Source organism: Homo sapiens, chromosome 12 (assembly GCF_000001405.40).
Source record: "Homo sapiens chromosome 12, GRCh38.p14 Primary Assembly".
NCBI lineage: Eukaryota > Metazoa > Chordata > Mammalia > Primates > Hominidae > Homo > Homo sapiens.
The window spans coordinates 42087954-42113158 of NC_000012.12; the positions used below are offsets into that span (position 1 = coordinate 42087954).

Sequence of the window (25205 nt, forward strand, 5' to 3'; positions counted from 1 at the left end):
AAAGAAAATTTTAAAAAATAAAAAATTTAAAAGGCAAAGGTACATATGTAAGTTCAATTATTTTCCAAACTTCTTCAATCAGTTTAATATGAACGATCTCCATTTAACGTCTCACAGAAATTAGATGTTTAACAAATATTTTCAATAAATTAAACAGAACTATTATCTCCCATTAAAGAAAGACAGCCATGGTAAATCTCCGGGGGAATCCTGGAGAACATGCGCAAGGGCAGAGAAGACTGAAATACTGGTTAAGAAGACAACCAAAAGCCCTACGAGTATCTCGGTGAAACTAATAAAAGGTGGACTGGCTAAAAGAAGAGCTTTACCACACACCACACCCGCGTCCCACCTTTTAAAAACCACTCTGGCAATAATACTGCTGAGGCTGGAATGGAAGGAAATGAAGTAAAGGCATATGGTGGGAGGAATGTAAGATGATAACATAGTTCAGCATGTCCCACAGAACCCTAACTGCACAGAAGGATCCCAACAATAAACACATTTGAAAACTGCTAAATATTAGGCACTCTTCATGGGGATTCAGACTAGCACAGGAAAAAGTCTAAAAAGTAAAACAGAAAATAAATCTGTTGAGTGTTGTCTGACCTGTTTGTCCCAAGATATATTTTTGGCTAGAGTCCTTCTTTTACTATAAAATATACTAATATCGAGAAATAAATTTTGGAAAAGGCTGTGGTAGTAAAGTGGAAATAATAAGTAATCTTTGTATTTTCAACCAGGTATTTTGTGATTTAGTATTTTCAACTAGGTGTATTTTCAATTAGAAAGATGGATGGGGCTTAAAAGTAGAACATTTTATATGGAAGTTGAAGTTGGTGAAAAATGCAAAATCACAAAGGAAATTCAGAACCAGAAATCTCCCAGGTTATCCCTGAGGTTCACTAGCACGCTGAGGGAGAGGAAATGAAAGAACCACCCCAAGCACACTTAGTGAGTCTGCAGGAAGCTGCAGTCAATCTACAGAGAAGAGGATGAACTTGGATGTTTGTTTAAAACATGGGTTTTGTCACTGTAGAGATGCAAAGAGATCCTAAACTTTGGCATCTTTTGAGCAAGAAAAACTGTAAGCATTAACTGCATAAAACCATCACCCTTGGAGTGATTTTTAAAAATCAATCACACATACTCAAGATAAACGTCTAAAATTGTTTTGAAGATAAAAGTTTTAAAAAGAGATGGGGAAACTTAGCCAGGAACAATGTAATAAAAATAACAATAGCACACAGAGTGCTTGCTACCTACATGCCAGGCACCATTCTAAGAGTTGTATATGACTGCATGTTCTCATTCATAGGTGAGAACTGAACAATGAGAACACATGGACACAGGAAGGGGAACATCACACATCGGGAACTGTTGTGGGGTGGGGGGAGGGGGGAGGGATAGCATTAGGAGACATACCTAATGTAAATGACGAGTTAATGGGTGCAGCACACCAACATGGCACATGTATACATATGTAACAAACCTGCACGTTGTGCATATGTACCCTAGAACTTAAAGTATAATAAAATATATATACATATAAAAGAGTTGTATATGTATTAACACATTTATAATATAGGTAATATTATCTCCATCTGACAATGAAACAACGAAGGCAAGGAGAGAGGATTTTCTCAGTTATAAATGCAGTAAGTGGTTAAGCCAGGATTCCGTCCCAACAGTCTAGCTCCAAAAGTCCATGCACTTAATTAACCACCAGACAGCACTACTTATCCAAACATTAAGCAAACAACACCATGCCAAGTCAGTTCAAAAATCCTGTTGAAGGACGAAGCTCAATGAATGGTGGAAATCTGGGGAAAGTGCTGTATTGTAAACAGATACACAAATTTGTTTGGGGTTAAAAGTGTAGCCAGGTTGAAGAAGGTAAACTTCACCAAGTGATACTTTCAAGAAATATTTCAATGTGCACAAAAAACACTTGAACAACTGGTTGAGTGGCAGAAAATTATGGGAAGCCCAAACTACTATGATCATTATTTTTACTATATGACAATAAAATGAAAGCATTTAAGAATAGAGGAAGACTATTGATTCCCAGGAGTATGTAGTACTCGAGATTAAGTTTCTTTGTTTTCATGTGATTCAAATCCCAGTGTTTGTGGTTAAAAAATGTTTTCTTCTTCACTGGAAAAAAAAAGCCATTTGATGAATATTTTCTTAAATAAAAACAGTGTCTCATTAGTTAGACCTCTTTCTGCCCATCATATGAAAAAAGCAATCTGACCTCTAAGGAAGAAGATAAATTTCCAAAATTTCCACCTATATAAACATAGCCTAAAGACACTGCATTCTTCCATTTACATAATCTGCAGTGCCTGCATATTTGTACAGTACATAACCTACATCTAGGTGTCCCTTTCCCAGAGGCCACACGTGCCCTTACCTGACTCCAGACCTCTTTTTATACTATATACTATGCCTGACTTATCCTTACCTTTTCTTCTCTGCCTGGTACTCATCATCCTTACAGCTTAGTTCAAATGTCAGCTCCTCTGAGAAGCCTTTCCATGTACAGTTAATCGTTCCCTCTTTTCAGTGGCACAGGGCCCAGTACACTGATTTTTAGGAAGCTCATGCTTTATACTGTCAGTTGAACGACATGAAATAGTGAAGCTGTGATGACCATAATTAGGCAATTTGAGGTATTTTCAAAGAATAGTACATCTTTGGAAAATACAGGAGAATGGCAGTTCAATCCAACAAATCCTAAGTGTTCACTATATGCAAGTCAGTACTATGGGAAGGAAAACATTCAAGACTGCTTTGCAGAGAGTTTTGCAAATATAAGCAAGGTGTAAAGTAAATCAAAGTTAACACAAAACATCAAGAAATATAATTCAGAATGAAATGCATGATGCAGAAAATACCTTATAGAGCCATAAAATGTTTTGTTCTGATTTTGAATTTGTAATTTTTAAACATTTTTATTCACTCAACAACTAATATTTAACAAATATGCATGGACTATAAAAACAGATTTGCTGGTAGACATAGCCATGAATTCACACTTTAAAGATGGTTCACATCCTTTATAATTCATACTGTTCACTGCATTCCATGGCTATGACTAAGCCTCTGTCTGAAACTTGCATAAATATCCTTGTCTGAATACAATTCTTTTAAAAATTACACTTCTTACTGAATTACAGATAAGGAAATATAAAAACACTAAGCAGGAGCATCATAAAAGACAGATTAACTTCATTAAGTTGAAAAATGAATAAATGTAAGCTGTAGTTAACACAGACCCAAAACAAACACAGAAGATAATTAATCATCTGAAATCCTTTTAAAAATAAGATTTTTTTAAAAAAAAATCAAGTGTAATTAATCAACTTAAAACTATTACTCGTATTTTTAAAGGTACACACTTATAAACCAAAGAAAAGATCAAATAAAACCAGGGAAACTTAATTCTCTAATAGTAGATTTTTTTTAATACTCAAAGGAAACAAAGGAAATCTCATTTTTATAGGAATGCATTTCTTTTCTATCCTGCAAAGTCTCAGAACCCCACAAGCACTTTTCTTCATTTTTATCACCTTCTGACAACCCATAATAAAGCATTATTAAAATACAGTATTAATTTCTGAAGGCATACAAAGCCTGCTACATTAAAATGAACATCAACACTAAATTTTATAATTCATCAGTGAGTATAGTCATACCATGATAAACTGATTGTTTAGAAGCTGTATCTGTCAAGTTTATAGGACAAGAAACTTAGCTACTAATACACTAGAACTGTAGCCTACAATGCTGTTAGCATTTTGTCTACCACCAAGTTTAAGAAACAGATTTCTGGGAGAAAACTTTAATTCCTTTTCATGGTAGATCATCACCTTAACATGGCATACCACCTCCACATCCACTTCATTTCGGCCCCTGCTGACTTTCATCCATCACTCCAGTCACACTGAACAGATGGATGCCTGACCTCTCCGTGGATCTTTTCACAGCCTCTGAACCTTTTTCTCAGGCAGTTGTCAGCCCAGACTGCCTCCACCCACCTGGAAAACTCTTACTCATTCTTCAGGGCCCACTTCAAAAGCCTCCTCTTCAAGGAGGCATTCCCTGGCCCTTCAAGGCAAAACTGAGACACTCTTTCACAGTTCTAGAACAATCTCTGTCACCATGGATTATAGTGAAGTGTTTTTATTCTCACTGCTATTGATGAGGCTACATAGACCAGAGGATTTCAGTCACTAACAAATAATGAGAACTTAGGAAACGGGGGTCATCAGCTTTTCTCCTGACCCCCACATTTAAACTAAAGTAGCACTCATATTATTTGCTTTGTTTCCACCCACGTAAGATTAAACAGTGTAGTAGAACAGACAGCATATCTAAATGAGAGTTGAGTGATCACATGTATTAATACTTCTTCCTTAGTAGCAGTGAAATAGCTAACATGGATAGTGATACAGCTTGTTAAGTAACAGCATAAATCCAAACCTCCCCTGGATTTGCCCCAAGTCTTGGTCCTTAACATTCACAGAGATCTGGTTCATGCATCCACCTAGAGGTATATGAAGTATTAATCATGTCCCCCATCAATCCACCCCAATTACATAAAAGGGGACTAATAAGAACAAGAAGAAAAGAGAAAACAGACAACTGGGGGATGGGGGAGAGAGGGGCAGTATAATTTTTTTCCAAACTCATTATAAAGCAAATGCTTAAAAGACAAAACTTTATTTACAAAAGCAACAAAAAGACAATACTTAAGCATAAACTTAAGTTATATTCAAAACCTGTAGCAAAAAAAACTGTAAAGCAGGGGTGTCCAATCTTTTGGCTTCCCTAGGCCACACTGGAAGAATTGTCTTGGACCACACATAAAATACACTAACGCTAACAATAATGAGCTAAGAAAAAAAAAATCACAAAATAAATGTCATAATGTTTTAAGAAACTTTATGAACTTGTGTTGGGCCATGTTCAAAGTCATCCTGGGCTGCATGCGGCCCACTGGCCACAGGTTGGACAGGCTTGCTATAAAACATTCCTAAAAGACAAATGTAAAGACAGCTCTTGTTCTTGGTTAGGATGTCTCAACACCATCAAAACGTTAGCAGTCCCTAATATACGAAGCTAATATACTCCTAATAAAAATATCAATTTTTCTGAGATGAAGTTTCGCTCCTTTTGCCCAGGCTGTAGTGCAATGGAGCGATCCTGGCTCACTGAAACCTCCACATCCCAGGTTCAAGCGATTCTCTTGCCTCAGCCTCCCAAGTAGCTGGGATTACAGGCACGTGCCACGATGCCTGGCTAATTTTTGTATTTTTAGTAGAGACAGGGTTTCACCACTTTGGTGGCCAGGCTGGTCTCGAACTCCTGACCTCAGGTGATCCGCCCGCCTCAGCCTCCCAAAGTGCTGAGATTACAGGCGTGAGCCACTGTGCCCGGCCTAAAAATACCAACAAGTTTTTAACTTTTTAATGGAGTTGATACTTATAGAAAAATAAATATACAATAGCTAGGAAAACACTGAAAAAAACAGGCTATAAAGAGGGAGTAGCCCCATCAGATATTAAAACACAGCAAAGCACCTTTATAATTAAAATAGTGTGCTATTAGTGTACAAATGAACTGACCAATGGAACAAAACAGAAAATTCAGAAATTACAAATGGAATTTATGATAATGTCAGTATCTGAAATCTTCTGGTTAAAGACAGCCTTTTAATTTATTTTATTTTTTAGAGACAAAGTCTTACTATGCTGCCCAGGCTGGTCTCAAACTGCTGGGCTGAGGGAGTTGCCTCAGCTGGTCTTGAATTCCTGAGCTTGCCCACCTTGGCCTCCCAAAGTGCTAGGATTACAGATATGAGCCACTGCGCCCAGCCAAAGATAGATTCTTAAGTAAATGGTGTAGAGACAAAAGGATAGCCATTTGGAAAAGAGTCAAATAGTATCTATTCCTCACCCAATACAAAAGAGTAAATAAATTCCAAACACAGCAAAGGTCTGAATGTAATAAATGAAACAGCATATGGGTGAATTATCCTATAACCTGTTCTGTAACCCAAGTGTAGACTGGAAAAAGCTTGCTGATTACAACTTTAAAAAAAAAAAAGGGGGGTGTTAGGCTAGGTGTGGTGGGTTATCCTGGTAATCCCAGCACTTTGGGAGGCCAAGGATTGCTTGAGCCCAGGAATTCAAGACTAGCCTGAGCAACATGGCAAAACCTCATCTCTATAAAAAATACAAAAATTAGCCAAGCCTGGTGACATGCACCTGTAGTCCCAGATATTTGGGAGGCTGTGGGAGGATCAACTGAATCCAGAAGGTCAACGCTGCAGTAAGCTGTGATCACACTACTGCACTCCAGCCTGGGTGACAAGAGCATAACCCTGCCTCAAAAAAAAAAAAAAAAAAAGATGAGGCTGGGCTTGATGACTCATGCCTGTAATCTCAGCCACTATGGAGGCTGACGGTGGCAGACTGCTTCAGCTCGGTAATTCAAGACCAGCCTGAGAAACACAGCAACATCCCCATCTCCATAAAAAATACATATGTTAGCTGAGTGTGGTGGCACGTGCCTGTAGTACCAGCTACTTAGGAGGCTGAGGTGGGAGGATCGCTTGAGTCCAGGGGGCAGGGGTTACAATGAGTCAAGACTGTGCCACTGCACTCCAGCCTGGGTGACAGAGCAAGACCCAGCAGTGAAAAAAAAAAAAATTGATAAACTTATTACATGAAAAATATTATACAAACTGAATGGCATCAAATACCATAAATAAGTCAAATTGGTAGAAAAATATTCACAATGTATATCACAGGAAAAGTACTAATATTCCTAACATACAAAGAACTTTTAACAATTAAAGGGAGGAGAGGGCAAGAAAGCCCAAACGCCCTCATGGTAATAATGATGGTTGTACAATTCTGCAAACATGCTAAAAGCTACTGAATTATATATTTGAAATGGGTGAACTTTGTGGTATATAAATTATGTTTCATTAGTTATTTTTAAAAAACTATAGAAGAATAGGAGAAATATTTAAAAGAAAATTCACCCCCAAAAAGATATAAAAATATTTCATAAATATATAAAAAGATTAAACTTCACTCGTAAGAGAAATGCAAATTAAAACTACACTAAGATACCATTTCTCACCCATCAGAATGACAAAATTTTAAAAGCTTGATACTATACTCTGTTGACGAGGATGTGGGGAACAGACTGTCTCACAAATCATTGGCAGGAATACAAACAATCCCTATGGAGGAACACAGGTAATAATTTCAATCCAATAATCCCACTTCTAGGAATTTACCATGAAGATTCACCTTCCAACAATACAAATATATATATATGACACAGCTAACTGTACATTGCTGCATTATTTATAATTCAAGCTATTGGAAACTACCAAAATGTCCAAACATAGAGAATGGCTGAATAAACTCTGGTACATACATAAAGTACCATACAGTTTAAAAAAAAAAACTGAGGAAAATATCTCCAGAATATTTTAAATATAAAAAGCAAAGAATGAATGAAGATATACACTAAGCTACCTTTTGTGTAAGAAAATGGAAATTACAGAACATACATACATCTGCTCATCTTATTAAAAACACAGGAAGGATAAACCAGAAAACAATGAAATTGGTACCCGATAGAGGTAGGGGGCAGTTAGGATAAACGGGCTAAGATAACAGGTTACATCTGAGTAAACCCTTATGTTATTCTGACTTTGTGAAGTATATTAATATCCCCCTATCAAAAAATGCAATTATATCAACAAAGATAGTGGAAAAAAGCTAAAACTGAAAGCATACGGAAACGAATGAATCCAATTGTATTTCAAATAAATAAAATAATCACACTGAAAGATCGGAAAAAAAGAACTAACCCAAGTAACTTCTGAATACAGTATTGAGTACACACCCTTGTCTGGGAGCAGGGGAGAGGAAGAGGAAGGACTGAAAACAAATCCTAAGCCATTTTTAGTAAGCTGGTTTGGGGGTGGAGACAATGGTATGAAAGGAACATTTCTGAAATTATTTTAAATGACTGTAAGATTAAGCAAATGACAAAATGTGTTGATGACAGAAGTCAGGATTCTAACTGTGGAAGAAAGAAGATATAATATAGAGTAGAAGAAAGGAAGAGCCTTGGAAGAATGGCATGGAATTAGAGAATCAGGTGTGAACACATTAACATCATGTGTGCACGCTTATACTTCCTAGCTCTGCCACTGAAAAAGCTCAAAAGCAATGAGACCCTGGTAGCAATAAACATGCCTAATATCCAGAGCCTACTAAAGGGAACCAGAGCTCCTTTGACAGATGACTAATTTCAACAGTAGGGCAGGGAAAGTATAAAATAAACCTGGAATATTTTGTTGGAACAGAAAATAAAAGAGGTACTCAAAAAAAGTGATGAGGACATGTCAAAGGGACACAAGAAGTAGCCAATGGGGCTCCCAATGGCCATACCTGGAACAACTTTAGCATTAACATAATTAGAAGGAAAAATGAATTATAAATCATTGGAGGAACATAAGTATCAAAGGGTTCATACTGATTATATAAACATCAATATATGTGCAAAAGGGAGCGATCTTCCTTATAGACGCATGCCAAGTGTCAAATGATGTATGTGGAAGGAGTGCTATTGTTGAACAATCATCAATTTGCAAATAACATGGTGAAGATTGTTTTGGGCAAGAACCAACGATAGATGCTAAATCTTGTAGGAAAATTTTAATGAGAAGCAGAATGTTTACATGATTTTAAAAGGTTCTTCCCATAGGCTGCTTATAAGAGGAAAAATAACTACACTGTGGAGAAAATAAATGACATTTTGACTGACTGATCAAAATCAACATCACCAGTGAGGGGCAGACAAAAGGGACTATGACTATGAGGGCCTGAGAAGCACACATCACCACCTATACAGAATTCTGAGCAGGCATGTATATCCTGAACCTAATCGTAAGGAAACATTAGACAGGCCAAAATGAAGAACATTCTAATAAAAAAAGGGGTGAAGAGGCTCTATTGTCCAAATATGCCAATGTCATATAAGACAAAGACTGAGAAACTGTTCTAGATCAAAAGAGAGTAAAGCCATATGGATGGCAGATTAATGTATTCCATCAGTATTAAATTTTCTAGCTTGACATATGTACTGTGGTTAATAAAAGAGCGTCCTTATTCTTAGTTTAAAAAAAAAAACTGAAGTTTTTAGGGGTAAAAGAACTTAATGTATGCAACTTACAATCAAATTTAAGTTGAGTTTTCTGAAAAAACAACTACATTGTTTTCAGGAAAAAAAAATGTAGAGAGAAAACCAACGACAAAGCAAATAAGGCAAAATGTTAATAACAGATGAGGCTGAGTGTGTGTAAAAATTCTTTGTACTATTTTTGTAAACTAACCATTAGCTTGAAAGTATTTTCAAACAAAAAGTTAAAAAAAAGGAAAGGCAAATCTTACATTTCTCAGTGCTTCATAAACAGCTCTAAATGCTGGTTGCTTATCGTCATGGTAAACACCTCTGTTCCCATGAAGAATAAAGATTCCTCCTTCTTCTGCTTCTTGGCAATTGCTTCCATATATACAATGATCTGGTCGATAATTCCATTGACACGGAAAAACAAAAAGGCTTTCTACATAAAGAAAAGACCAAACAATGAAGCAAATACCCCTAATTCCACAGATGTAACATTATGCAAAACTTTCAGTTAAAAAATACAGCTCTTACAAGTAAGAATTAATGAAAAATGTCTGGCATTTAGATCTCTTCCAATTAAAGCAAAATTCAAGAAAAGTTTTACTCCGTCTTAAACATAAATAGCAATAATCATTAATATAAGACAGAATCAGATAAGTGCATGTTTTCCTTTTTCACTAAGTATTATCTGTGATTTTTTTAATGCAAATAAAAGGAATTTAAATAATTACCTGGATTATGAAAAAACACGATATTCAATAGATCTTGATCACCCCATGTGATGTTTAGTTTGTATTTTTTAAGCAATGGCATAAGTATATCTCCCCATTGTAGTCGTACAGTTGTCATATCATTCTGTTGATAAAAACATTCAAAAGAGCTTCAGACTTTCAGGCTTAAAATGGCAGCATGATGACAGTTCCTCATTCTTCCCACAGCAACCATTACAAATCCACAAAGAGAAATGCAAACTCCTCACAATATCAAGTGACATTTCTAACCCTAAATGTGAGAAGGGCTGTACAGTAAAACAGAAGATAACAAAAGGAAGTTGTATGTGGCAGTGACAAAACTAGTAAGTCACGAAAGAAAGCGAAAGTAACTGTGTCCTTATCTTAAAATGAAGATAGTTTTGGTACCTACGTCTGGGCCTACGTCAGAGTTGTTGATGATTAAAATTGTTAATATATAAATTTAAAGTGCTTGGAATAGCACCTGACACGTGGTAAATATTCAGTGTTAGCTATTATTATTTTTTACCATGATGGCTATTAGTCTGATTTATTTGCTTAACTTCTATAATTGGCAGTTCAAATAGATCATTTTGAAATTGATAAATCAAATTAAAAAATGCATACACAACTTAAGTTAAACACTAAAAAACAATATGATTGACAAAAATCAAGGCTGCAGAGGGAGTGGGGAAGATCAACAAAGAAGGAGAAATGTATGAGTTTTGTGTCTACTTGTAGTAAAAAATTCTCACAGAGAACTGGCCTTTTTATGATGGATTTTCCTATCCAAAAACATAGTGTATCTTTCTACTTATTTAAGTGTTCATTTATCTTATTAAATTTAAAACATATATATATATATATATATATATAATACATGTGTGTGTATATATACATGTATATATCCTGCCAATTTCTTTCAAGTTTGTTCCTATGTATGCTATTTCTTTTGAGGGTCTTCCATTTTATATTCTAAAAGGTTGCTATTTGTACATTAGAAAACGCAAGCAAAGAATTCTGTAAAGAGGCACCATGAATGACATATAAAGTCAAAGAAGATTTGCTGAGGAAAATAACTGGGTCCAGTCTAGCAGATGTATGCAGTCCCATAAACTCTCACCATCCCAGAGAGAGGCAAGTTAGGACTGGCAGCTTTGGCAATATTAAGACTGCACTCCAAGAAAGAGACCCTAGTCTCCTGATGCCTCTCATGCTACTGAAGAGCTGACAGATTCACCCAACCCATTTTAACAACTGTAAGCTTTGCTATCAGAATTACAACCCTGCTAACAAAAGTATTTTCCTATTCTTGGATATCAACTAATTGGCATATCAACACTGTTTTCAGGAGGAGACCATACTACGCTACTTGAGAAAGAACCCCTGGAGTCAGCCAGCACAGTAAATGGTTTGACTCTCCTTTTAAAAGCAGCAATTTCTGTATTTTAGTTTTCAACTCAGCCAAATTAACTATATATCCTTAATGTTTATAGTAGTTTTAATAGGTTGAGGTTTTCCAGGGATATAAATATGTCACGCAAATAATAATTCTACATCCTATCTAATTTTTATACCTATTTCTTTCATTTGTCTAATATGGGGGCTTGTTATTCCTCCATGCTGAGAACCACTATTTAAATATTACTTAATAGTTATGATGTCAGGCACAGCGACTCACGCCTGTAATCCCGGCACTTTGGGAGGCCGAGGCAGGCTGATCAGTTGAGTTCAGGAGCTCGAGACAAGCCTGGGCAACATGGTGAAACCCTGTACCAAAAGTACAAAAAACTAGTCACGCATGGTGGTACACGCCTGTGGTCCCAGCTACTTGGAAGGCTGAGGTGGGAGGATCACTTGAGCCTGGGAGGTGGAGGTTTGCAGTGAGCCAAGATTGTGCCACTGCACTCCGGCATGGGTAACAGAATGAGACCCTGTCTCAAATAAAAAAAAGTTATGGTAATATTAATAGATATCCTTATCTTCATTTTAACTGGAAAGCTCCTACTGTTTAGCCATTAAGCACAATGCTGCCTTTTGAAATGAGATAAAAATATAATACTAATAATCTATCAATTTATATTTTATGCTTTTTTAAAATAAAAAAGATACTGAATTTAGTGCTTTTTCAGATACTGAATGTAATGCTTTTTTCTTAATGCTCAAAACTTGTTATTTGAAAACCCAAAGTTAAATACTTAAGGGAGCAAGAAACTGAGTCCAATGAGAACTTGGTGTTGGAAGGGGTAGAAGTGAATACCGGGCCTTTTAGATCTATGTGACTCGGGGACTATCCAGAGTAAAAACCAGTATTCTTCATAGTGCAGTTCACAGCAGTTCACATAGTGTGCTACTATGTAAATTTTTTCTATGTCCTCAATAAGATTAAGTAATTAAGTATAGAAATTAAGAGTAAGATTTAGAAACTTTTACAGCAAGTTAACAGTTTTATGTGTACTTAATATATTTCTCTAGTAATCTCTCTTTTACAAAAGTATTGGCTCATAACATACTGAAAATTTTTTAAAAATTAATCTTTTGCCATAGTTTGAGAAACATTGTTATAAGTCATTTTATAATTTATATTAAATTCAGTGACGATATAAACAATCTATCCTTTAAAAAAGAGAAGGCCAGAATTCATGAAAAAAAAAAAATCCACATACTTAAATTGATGTGCTACAACTGCATTATTATCCTTGTGTGAAATTTCTTAGAACACAGTAAATAGTAATTATAATCAGAATTTTTTTTAATCTGGAAAATGACTAAAACAAGTTTTACTTAAGGAAACAATTTGAAAAGATAACTCTTAGAAATAAGTCATTGAGTATGTTAAGGAAATATTCTTAGGATCTGAAAAGAAAAATATCAATTACACAAGGACAAAAACCAGGAACACTTTCAACAGACAGAACTGGTGGAGCCCTTGTACAACACCATGTTAAAGTCTTCATGTGATTCTATCTATTCAAATATACACAGAAATACAGATACATATTTAAATTATAAAAACCAATATAAATCAAATATATATATTTGAATATATATCTTACAAGAAATGTACCTATTCAAAGAGCATCAATGAAATACAAAATTAAGAGTTCACTGCAGTCTTAGGAAAAAAATAAAAAGGGAAAAAAACCTTAAAGAAAAAAGTCCCATTAGAAAACTATTTGGAAAAGAAGCGATAACGCTAGTATTATTTGCTAATGATATAACCTAGATTATCCAAGACAACCAATGAAAAGCTATGAGAAATGAGTTTAATAAAGAGGTATTACATATAAAAGGAGTTCAAGTCAATAAGAAAGAGAAAACCAAGAAGTGGGCAAAGGATATGGGCAAGCAGCCATTCACAAAAGAAGAAACAGAAATGGCTACAAATTATAAGAAAAGATTTTTAACCACACCGGTAGTATAGTCAAGAAAATATGAATTTTAAAATATATTTTCAGCCATACAACTACATATCCATACTAGGTACACACAAAAAGAGAAAATAAAATCATCCATTCTCCACATCATACACACATTAAAAATGTGATTATGTGTAATGACATAGAAGTCAGTCAACTATATATTTACTAAATGAAAAAAGCTGAAGATGTATAAAAGAATCCTATATCTAAATGCTAATGCACACCTATGCTTGTTTCAAAATACTTTTTTTTTTTTTTGAGACAGAGTCTCACTCTGTCGCCCAGGCTGGAGTGCAGTGGCGCAATCTTGGCTCACTGCAACCTCCACCTTCTGGGTTCAAGTGATTCTCATGCCTCAGGCTCCCGAGTAGCTGGAATTACAGGCACCTGCCACCATGCCTGGCTAATTTTTGTATTTTTAGTAGAGATGGGGTTTCACCATATTAGCCAGGCTGGTCTAGGACTCCTGACCTCAAGTGATCCACCTGCCTCGGCCTCCCAAAGTGCTGGGATTACAGGCATGAGCCACTGCACCCAGCCTCAAAATGCACTTTTTAAAAGGTCCAAAGAACACATAGCCAAGTTTATAGTGTCACTCTGGGTGGAGGCATGAAAGTGTGAAGAGATATGTCAAGGGGAGACCTGTCTTTTCATTCTACATAAAATTACTTTTTTGAATCTTTATAAGCACAATTTAGTTTCATAACATTTAAAACAGAAAACTGTAGTTCTAATTTTACAAAATTTAGCAAACCTATGACCAAATACATGTATGTTACATCAAGATCAATTAGTTTCATTTTTTGAATTAAGCATGCTTTGAAAATGAATGGACTGTCATTATCAGCCTGTCCTATACATACATATAAAATTAAAGCGCATTCACATTATGCTCCAACAAAAAAGTGGGAACTCATCAATTCCCAAAGATTAGTTACTTCACTTTAAAAAGTTCTACCCCTTTGGCAAGATGTTCGTTGTTGTTATTCTGCTCTCATAAGCTATGTACTAACACAAGAAAACTCTTTATCACATACATCTTACAAATATGTAAAAGCATTGTATCTACTTCATACAAAGTGTTCCCTTTTCCAGTATTTTTCAATTCATTAATGGCCTAGTTTCTAAAACCTTCATCTGACTCTCCTTTGCTAGCAATTATCTATCAAGTTGCTACTTTATGTCAGACACTGTGCTAAATATTCTTAATATAAAGCTGTATAAAAGACACATCCTGCCCTCAGTAGGTGGAGCAAACAGACAAAAAAATACTCTACAAAATAATATATAGAAAGCTGAAAAGGGCAGAGTAAACAAAGAAAAAATTCCCACCATGTCTAATTTATACTCTTTGGTTTTTCTCTAATAAACAGGAAAAGGCTAAGAAATACAGTAATACATTTTTTAGAAGGAGAGAAAATAAATACCCTAATAGGGATTCAACACGGCAAATACGATACTGCAAAATAGAACGTAATCATTTAACCAATGTTATTCATTATCTAGCAAATATACAATTATGAGATTAAAAATTATGATTTTTAAAAAGTTGTATTTAATATTTAATTTAATTTAATAATTATTTCATTAAATTAAATTATTTGAATTTAAATTTTTTAATTTTTTTTTTCTTTTGAGACAGAGTCTCACTCACATTGTCACTCTGTAGCTCAGGCTGGAGTGCAGTGGCCCAATATCAGCTCACTGCAACCTCTGCCTCCCTGGTTCAAGCAATTCTGTCTCAGCCTCCCAAGTAGCTGGGAATACAGGCATGCACCACCATGCACAGCTCATTTTTTCTATTTTTAGTAGAGATGGGGTTTCACTGTGTTGGTCAGACTGGTCTCACACTCCTGGCCTCAAGTGATCCACCCACCTCGGTCTCCCAAAGTCTTGGAATTACAGGCGTGAGCCACCACACCTGGACCTATTTTAACTTTTTAATATACATAACTATAATACACCAGGTTCGAAATGAACAGCCACAAGTAGTAAGAACCAGGTGACAGCAAGGCAAATAAATAAACTATGACCTTTGTCCTAAATTTTTATTGTGGCTGTACATGGGTTAAGAACCATGAAGCAACAATCGTGGATCTGTATAAAACAGTTTGGAAAGTGATTATAAGTAACTCAGTTATATTGCTAAATTTCTAAAATTTAAGATCTGTGCTAGAAACTGTAAAACTGGTAGGAAAAACCAAGACAATGTTTTGCTATAGATATAAAGATCAAGAAAAATAAAAATATATGAGAAAAGGAATTAACAATCAATAAATTTTGCAGGACCATCTCGACAATCCTAAGTATAATAAAATATTTGAAAACAAAGCAAATCTGAGTATGTTCCCAAGGAGCAAGAACAGGGTTGTTTGTAACACAGGAATAGTAGGTGTGAAGTAAATTATACCTGCCAAATTAACATACAACCAATCATCTTGTGTTTTTTTTCACAGTCATTAATGTGCAGAAGAAAAAAAGGTTTGAAAGTTTAGAAATTATTCCAACTCCCATAACTACACCTCTAGGTAGCTTAGAACATGTCACAGAAAAAAAAAGAAAAAGGGAAAGGGAGAAACTATTATTTATGAATGATATTTAAATAAGTAATAGGTAAGTTAAAAACAGTAAATCTGGCCAAGCGCAGTGGCTCACGCCTATAAACCCAGCACTTTGGGGGTTTGAGGTGGGAGGATCACATGAGGCCAGGAGTTCAAGACCAGCCTGGGCAACTCTTTTTCTGTAGAGACTGTTCTCTACAAAAAAGTAAAATAAGAACAAAATAATTTTAAAAACAATGGATTTGAACTATATAGCTATTTTTAAGTTGTAATCAAATGGTGTTATATTATCTCTATAGTTCTTTGCAACACTAAACTTCTATTAATTTCATAAATTTCAAATGCAGTTATTGAGAAGTCACATTTTTTTTTTTTGCAGATAATCTTACAGCACCATCTTCTGGTATAAGATCACTGTGCACAGTCTAACAATCAGAAAATAACAATCATGTTACTATCTTAGTTTTACTATATTTAGTAAAACTTTACAGTACATGAAATTTAAAAATTCAAGACAGAATAACAAACTTGGTAACCAAAGAGAGATGTTCTCTGTTAAACAAGAGCAGAGGTTACCTAACACTGGGCTTATTAATGCAATCAGTTGTGGGAGACAAAACTAAATTTAAATCAGAATTTTAAAAAGATTCAGAAAAGGGAAAGCTAAAAAAAAAAAAAACTAAGTTTAAGATCAACAGAATAGACAAGTGACAGGTAATAGCTGTCAGACTTCTAAGACTGAAGTGTTGGCACATGGTAATGGCTACAGCAGTACTGCTGCCTATACCAAAGGTAAGAGGAAACAGTTCCAAATGAGGAAAAGACTTAAATCAGACATGTAGAAAGAATAAACTCCATTCCACCAGATACCATGTGAAAAACGCATGACAAAAATACATACATATAAATGTACACATATATCACAAAAGACATGATATCCCTTAATGTTTAATTTAGTCCTAATGAGATATAAAGGAATAAACAGTAACTCTATACTCCTAGAGGGTATAGTGTTTGCTCAGAAGTCACTGTTTTTAGCTAACATTTTACTGCTTACTTCCTGTCACGCTCTATTAAGAATTTTCAACAGATCTCTTTTAAATTAACTTAGTTAAGTCTGTTTATTATCTTATTCAGCTGAGAGAATTCATACTTAAAAGTTAACTAAGTGGCTAGTAGTTAAGTACTGCACAGGAGGCAAAGCTACACAGAAAGCCAGTCTGATTCCAGAGCAAGCAAACTACAGTGACTTGCAACTTAGATATACAACTAATCTACATGAAACTGGTAAATATTAGTACATACTGATGAAGTCTAAATGCACATTCAGAGAATTTAAATAGTCTGACTTTTCTACTGACCACACAATTTGAAAGACTGGAAACACGCAGGAATTTTTTAAGTTAACTTCCAATAACACCATAATAGCTAACATTTACTATGTGTCAGCCACTGTTCTAACTCATTTACTCCTCACAAAAGTCCCAAGACATTGGTAGTGCTATCATTTCCATTTTACGGGTGAGAACAAACAGGTTGCAGAGTCTATGCTCTTAACTGCAACTCCATGTTGTCCCTAAGGTATATCATAATTTAGATTCTATGTATTCTATGAATGTACAACTACAAAATAACATCTGCTTCCTGGAATGGCAATCTAGGGAGAAGATGTTCACTACTTAGGGCATTGTTATTTTACTCCATTGTCATGTCATCTGGTTTGACCTATTGTAATGCTCTGTTAAACAGAATAATATGAACACACTTCTAGATAAATCTAGATATTTATATTCTTCTAATGAGATTATTCTAAATAGAAAAATTATTTATAGTTCAATTTAGTTTTTAATAAAATTTAGTTTTATTAAAAACAATTTAGAAGGTTTTTAGAGAAATGTTAACAACTACCTGTATTAGTGACTTACCTTGAAATACTTCCTTCTCATTCGAGTCATGTTCATCAACATAACTCCAGAGTTTACTCCAGTTTTTCCATAATATGGATGCCTAGCAAAGCGATTATACCATCCTATTCGAGGTTCCTCATGTTCTGGTGCCATTGCAGCAATTTGTGTGGAATTAAATTTCTTTAGTAAAGACCAAATATCATCAACTGGTCGTAAAAAAAGGATATCAGTGTCGACATACAATAGTGAGTCAACTTCTTTCAGGATTAACTACAAGGAGAGATATTTGAATGATTAACTATAATTCTATTTTAAAAAGAAACATAAAAGCACCTCTAATTGTGTAAGATACACCTAAGAGATTAGCTAATTTATATTATTTTATTTTAAGGTAATCTTTCCTAAATCTGTCATTTTTAACAATAGCATATATATAAAGATACTATGCTAACCTTCATATTAACTTTCAGAGAAGATATGAAAACAAACCAAAACAAAATACTCAATTATAAAAATTGAGAGAATAATATGAAATCTTCAAAGATCAGGGAGGAAATGTTTTTCATAATGGATAATAACATTAACTTAGGTAAATTTATATCTTGAATCCTAATTTCCTGAGATAAATACAGAAATAAACCAATACAAATAAAGATTTTCTGAACTTATTCCCCTTGGCCTGTAACACTGGCATCTTTACATCATTTCGGTTTCAACTAGTAAGTGGTAGAGCCAAACTGGAACCCAGGCAATCCAGATTCAGAGTCCATACTCTTATTTCTAGGTTGTGTCCCAACGAATCAAAGCAAATGTGCACCTAGCAAGGGTAAAGGCTTGACTTTAGGGTAAAGCCAGAAAGACTGGCTATGTTGCACTTTCTAAGAGATAAATCTTCAACATGTGCCTTCCCTGGGGAATTTTAAGGATAATTATTATTATTTTTCTTTTTTTTTTTTTTTTTTTTGAGACAGAGTCTCACTCTGTCACCCAGGCTGGAGTGCAGTAGTGTGATCTCAACTCACTGCAACCTCTACCTCCTGGGTTCTAGGCATTCTCCTGCCTCAGCCTCCTGAGTAACTGGGATTACAGGCATGCATCACCACACCCGGCTAATTTTTCATATTTTTAGTAGAGATGGGGTTTCACCATCTTGGCCAAGCTGGTCTTAAACTCCTGACCTCAAATGATTCACCCATCTCGGCCTCCCCAAGTGCTGGGATTACAGGCACGAGCCACTGTGCCCAATCAAGGATAATTTTTCATTTCTGCCTTACCCATGAACTTTAGGTTCTGACTCCTACAAATTTAAATTTACCGCCTATCCTGGTTTATTAGTAAGATTCAATAAATAGGTGAATCTAAACCTTTTTAGTTAAGACATAATAGGAGCTTGATCCTAGTTCTGCTACTTTTCAAAGCTGCTACTTCTTCCTGCAACTAAAGCCATCACCTTAATGAGCAGCTACTAGGCTGAAATCACCTCATTCCTCCCTTATCTCACTATCAGCTGATTTAATATCAGGATGGGCAAAAAAATCTGATGGCTGACTGCAGGGCCTGAGTAGGGAAGGTTCACTTGGTCAAAGACCTCAACTAAAAGGGAATCTGTGGCCAGGCATGGTGGCTCACGCCTGTAATCCTAGCACTTTGGGAGGCTGAGGCGGGCAGATCACCTGAGGTCAGGGCTTCGAGACCAGCCTGACCAATACGGCAAAACGCTGTCTCTACTAAAAATACAAAAATTAGCCAGGTGTGGTGGCGCATGCCTGTAATCCAAGCTACTCGGGAGGCTGGGGCAGGAGAACCGCTTTAGCCTGAGAGGCAGAGGTTGCAGTGAGCCAAGACTGCGCCAGTACACTCCAGACTAGGCAATAGAGCAAGACTCTGTCTCAAAAAAAAAGGTGTTGGGGGAGGGGGCTGGGTGGAGTCTGTATGTCTATCTCACTTTTTTGAGGGGTGGTGGAGTTAGAATTGTTTTTAATAGCAACATTCTACATCTGTGTCACATCTGTTTACAGATTACTATATTCTTAGCAGAGTAGGAAGAAGCTACATAAAGCTTCAAGTTCAATGCTGGGAGCCACTACCAGCTGGAAATCAGACATGGTTAAATCATAATCACCTATGTATAGTTCTGATTCCTTTCAGTTGAAAAAGGCATTGGCACAGTTTACATTAGTTCTTTTCATGCATCTATTTTAAAGGAAGAGAAACTCAGCAAAAAAGTTTATCACTATAAAAAAATAAAGCACCAATTTACTTAAATCTGGTTAAAACGATTAGAATTAACAATAAAGTATGAGGTCAATTTGACAGGTTTCAAGTAGTTCTTGTACTTAAAATTCCATTTAGGGATTTAACTAGATTACATCATTAAATGATCTGGCAAATTTCATGTAACAACATCAACAATTAAACTTGTTAATAAAGTGTTAACAAAGTGCCATGGTGCCAAGTGTTAATAAAGTACCATAACAAAATGGCAGAGAAATGGCCAAAACCTCACATCTTTCTTTCATCTCTTATTGTTTTTTCAATACTATTTGTGTGATTATTTAATGTCTGTCTCCCACATCAGACAACAAGCTCTATGAAAAGAGGAAACCTGTGTGTTCTATTCATTCCTATATACCCAGCACTTCAGTATAGATGACTGACAAAAACTAGGCACTCACATATTAATTAAATGACTGACACTGCAGTCATTCAATATAAAACTTATTTCAAAAACTTACAAAACCTACGTGAAGTATCTAAAACTTTTTTTTTTAACCAATCTTAATCCCTTATTTGTGTGCTTTTTACAATGGAAGAGAAGAGAAAGATCCTAGGATATAACTTTTTAGGGCGGAGCAACAAACATACTGGTTAGACTGACTTTTTTATCAATATTATAACTTAATCTTACAGATATCCTGGATTCAATAAACCATATTCTTAATAAGCTAGGAATTCCCTTAATCCACTTAGCAATAAGAAGTAACTGAAGGTTCTTCCCCATAATTTATATAATTTCCGGAACCTTGTGTGCTTCTTAAATTCAGTATTTCTACCATAAGTATTCTCCATGTATTTAAGCTGCAAAACTGTAAGTATTTAAATATCATAATGGTCTAAACAACTACTGTGAATTTTAAAACTGGGTAAAATCAAATCAAAATGAAAGAGGTAACCTTGCTTCAGAACATTTGTATATAAAAAAGAAAAAAAAATCAAGGTTTATCATAGAACATTACCAAAGAACAGCCCCACTGAATAAATAGTTCCCATTTTCCCTTTGAGTTCATATGCCTTAAATTTGTTTCTGTTTAAGTATCAGTTACAATAGATAAATTGGCTTGGTATAAGACACAAATTGCTATTTAATGAAGCACTCTACCTCATTTCTCAAACTCTAAATGCTGCCTACAAGTTGAAGGTGATAACGCCACCGCATTTCTGCTGGCAACAGACTTGGCTCCATTAAGACCTGGCAACCTCTATTCCTTGTTACAGATAAAAGAGTTCACCGCAACTGAATATATTAAACTGGTATCTCAACAGAAATTACTAAAAATTTTTCATTCTTAACAGGGGTTTTTATTTTACTTGTTCCACAGGAATATTTTTTCATGTTCAAAAGGAAGATAGTACATGCATTGATTTCTATTTACTAATTTAATTATTTAACTGGAATTATATGTAACTCTTCAGAGACTCATGTGTAAAAGTAAGGTTCAAATTTAAAAAAAAAAAAAAAAAAAAGACACTAGGGGAAAAAACTTACCGGCAAGAACAATCTCTGCGAAGCACATGGTTTAAAGAGTTTTTTCCACTCTGCTGCATTCTCACTTGGAAAGGTTATGGGGTATAACGTATAATTAAATGTTTGTAGAAATGACCAGTTGTCAAGCTAAAACAATTTAAAAAAAAACTGTTTAGTTTCACTCTGAATTTTCTCTGTAAAATCATAAAACAACAGATTATAAAACAAAAGAGCTAAAAATTAAGATAATATACATTTTATGCTGTAAAATTAAAGGAAAGATTCTTCTGTTCCACCACTGTATTTGTTTTCATTTAAAATCTAAAAATCAAAATTAGATCCCAGACTTCCCCATTAAGATCTGAAGCATAATGAAAGTTATCAGGGTCCAACTCCCAAAATCAGAAAGGTGAAAGACCCTCGCAAGTTTGTCTTCCTCAACTTTACCTAATGTGTAAATTCTCTTAATCCATTAACAAGCTAAAATCAGAAAAATTAAGCACTAATATTATTACCACCATATATACGATATGAAAGATGCTTACATTCAAAGTCAGACCAAATATGAAACTAGTTAAAAAATATTTGTCCATCAATGCATAGCTTTAATATGCCTAAATATTTCTGAGAATATTCTGATACATAGCCAATGCCAATTTTTTAAAAATTATTACAAAAAGCAAAATGTATCTGAAAATCTATGATGAACATGTTTACACTTAGTACCCTAAATGCATTTCAAGATACTGAATTGTTTCTAATTCAGTTTAAGTATTATCTCTCATTCTTATTTCAACAGAATTACTGATTCAAATTTCCTGAGGAGCATTAAGAAACAATCTATGGGGGGGAAAAAACTAAGTAGTTTATGTACAGGCTGAATAAAATCTCTTTTGAATTATGATAGTGTTTAAGTCATTTCTAAAACACTAATATCTTCCAATATAGTTTAAGGGAATGCCTTTACTTCCAACACTCTGCTTTGGTGTCTCTGATTATTTTATTTTATTATTGTTTTGAGACAAGGTCTCACTCTGTCACCCAGACTGGGCTGAAGTGCAGTAACATGATTATGGTTCACTGCAGCCTTGACTTCCCAGGCTTGGGTGATCCTCCCACCTCAGGCCTCCCAAGTAGCTGGGACTACAGGTGCATGCCACCACAACCAGCTATCTACTAATTATTGTAAAATACTAGCACTGTCATTTCCCTGCTCCACTTATTAATCACTTAAAGATCTTTTCAATACCAACTTCAAAATAAAATCTTAGTCACTTTCATTTAACATATAATAGTGCTCTTTCATGTACTAAAAGCATGTTCCATAAAATATTTGATATTCTTTCATCAAAAGCAAAACCAAACATTCTCAGTGATTATTACAGTCAAACGAAAACTAAGTTCAAAAATATAGTATATGTTACACAAACAATAATTCAGCCAGGTGTAAACACAACACAGAGGCTGCACCTAAGATAATGCAATAAATGTTTTACTTTTCTATTATATTTTCAAAGACTCCCAAAATTGGCAGCAGTCTATTACTATTCTCTTAACCCCTAGGACAAGATTAATTCCTCAATATTTTAAAAAACAATCCAGGGAGGAGCCAAGATGGCCGAATAGGAACAGCTTTGGTCGACAGCTCCCAGCGTCAGCAACGCAGAAGACAGGTGATTTCTGCATTTCCAACTGAGGTACCGGGTTCATCTCACTGGGGAGTGCCAGACAGTAGGTGCAGGACAGTGGCTGCAGCGCACCGTGCGCGAGCCGAACCGGGGCGAGGCATCGCCTCACCCGGGAAGAGCAAGGGGTCAGGGAATTCCCTTTCCTAGTCAAAGAAAGGGGTGACAGACAGCACTTGGAAAATCGGGTCACTCCCACCCTAATACTGCGCTTTTCCAATGGGCTTAAAAAACGGCACACCAGGAGATTATATCCCTCACCTGGCTCAGAGGGTCCTATGCCCACGGAGTCTGGCTCACTGCTAGCACAGCAGTCCGAGATCAAACTGCAAGGCGACAGCCAGGCTGGAGGCGGGGCGCCTGCCATTGCCAAGTTAGTTGTTTGATTAGGTAAACAAAGTGGCCAGGAAGCTCGAACTGGGTGGAGCCCACCACAGCTCAAGGAGGCCTGCCTGCCTCTGTAGGCTCCACCTCTGGGGGCAGGGCACGGACAAACAAAAAGACAGCAGTAACCTCTGCAGACTTAAATGTCCCTCTCTGACCGCTTTGAAGAGAGTAGTGGTTCTCCCAGCACGCAGCTTCAGATGTGAGAACGGGCAGACTGCCTCCTCAAGTGGGGTCCCTGAACCCTGAGTAGCCTAACTGGGAGGCACCCCACTGTAGGGGCGGACTGACACCTCACACAGCCAGGTACTCCTCTGAGACAAAACTTCCAAAGGAACCATCAGGCAGCAGCATTTGCGGTTCACCAATATCTGCTGTTCTGCAGCCACTGCTGCTGATACCCAGGCAAACAGGGTCTGGAGTGGACCTCTAGCAAACTCCAAACTCCAACAGACCTGCAGCTGAGGGTCCTGTCTGGTAGAAGGAAAACTAACAAACAGAAAGGACATCCACACCAAAAACCCCTCTGTACGTCACCATCATCAAAGACCAAAGGTAGATAAAACCACAAAGATGGGGAAAAAAACAGAGCAGAAAAACTGGAAACTCTAAAAAGCAGAGTGCCTCTCCTCCTCCAAAGGAATGCAGCTCCTCACCAGCAATGGAACAAAGCTAGATGGAGAATGACTTTGACAAGTTGAGAGAAGGCTTCAGAAGATCAAACTACTCCAAGCTACAGGAGGAAATTCGAACCAATGGCAAAGAAATTAAAAGCTTTGAAAAAAAATTAGATGAATGGATAAACAGAATAACCAATGCAGAGAAGTCCTTAAAGGACCTGATGGAGCTGAAAACCAAGGCATGAGAGCTATGTGACAAATGCAGAAGCCTCAGTAGCCAATGCGACCAACTGGAAGAAAGGGTATCAGTGATGGAAGACGAAACGAATGAAATGAAGCGAGAAGAGAAGTTTAGAGAAAAAAGATAAAAAGAAACGAACACAGCCTCCAAGAAATATGGGACCATGTGAAAAGACCAAATCTACGTCTGATTGGTGTACCTGAAAGTGACGGAGAGAATGGAACCAAGTTGGAAAACACTCTGCAGGATATTATCCAGCAGAACTTCCCCAATCCAACAAGGCAGGCCAACATTCAGATTCAGGAAATACAGAGAACGCCACAAAGATACTCCTCAAGAAGAGCAACTCCAAGACACAGAATTGTCAGATTCACCAAAGTTGAAATGAAGGAAGTGCAGCCAGAGAGAAAGGTCGGGTTACCCTCAAAGGGAAGCCCATCAGACTAAGGGCGGATCTCTCGGCAGAAACTCTACAAGCCAGAAGAGAGTGGGGACCAACATTCAACATTCTTAAAGAAAAGTATTTTCAACCCGGAATTTCATATCCAGCCAAACTAAGCTTCATAACTGAAGGAGAAATAAAATACTTTACAGACAAGCAAATGCTGAGAGATTTTGTCACCACCAGGCCTGCCCTAAAAGAGCTCCTGAAGGAAGCACTAAACATGGAAAGGAACAACCGGT

The 25205-nt window shown here is 36.1% G+C and overlaps 1 protein-coding gene across 3 annotated transcripts in view; it reads right to left on the reverse strand.

Annotated features, from left to right (window-relative positions):
• GXYLT1 (glucoside xylosyltransferase 1) overlaps positions 1-25205 on the reverse strand; it is a 63030-nt gene that overhangs the window by 6109 nt on the left and 31716 nt on the right. For all 3 annotated transcript variants that reach the window (NM_001099650.2, NM_173601.2, XM_017019211.1), the window contains 4 exons: positions 21613-21738; positions 17865-18116; positions 9957-10080; positions 9489-9661 (listed from right to left, as the gene is read on the reverse strand). In NM_001099650.2, the coding sequence (NP_001093120.1) occupies positions 9489-9661; positions 9957-10080; positions 17865-18116; positions 21613-21738 (675 nt within the window). The remainder of the gene's footprint in view (positions 1-9488; positions 9662-9956; positions 10081-17864; positions 18117-21612; positions 21739-25205) is intronic.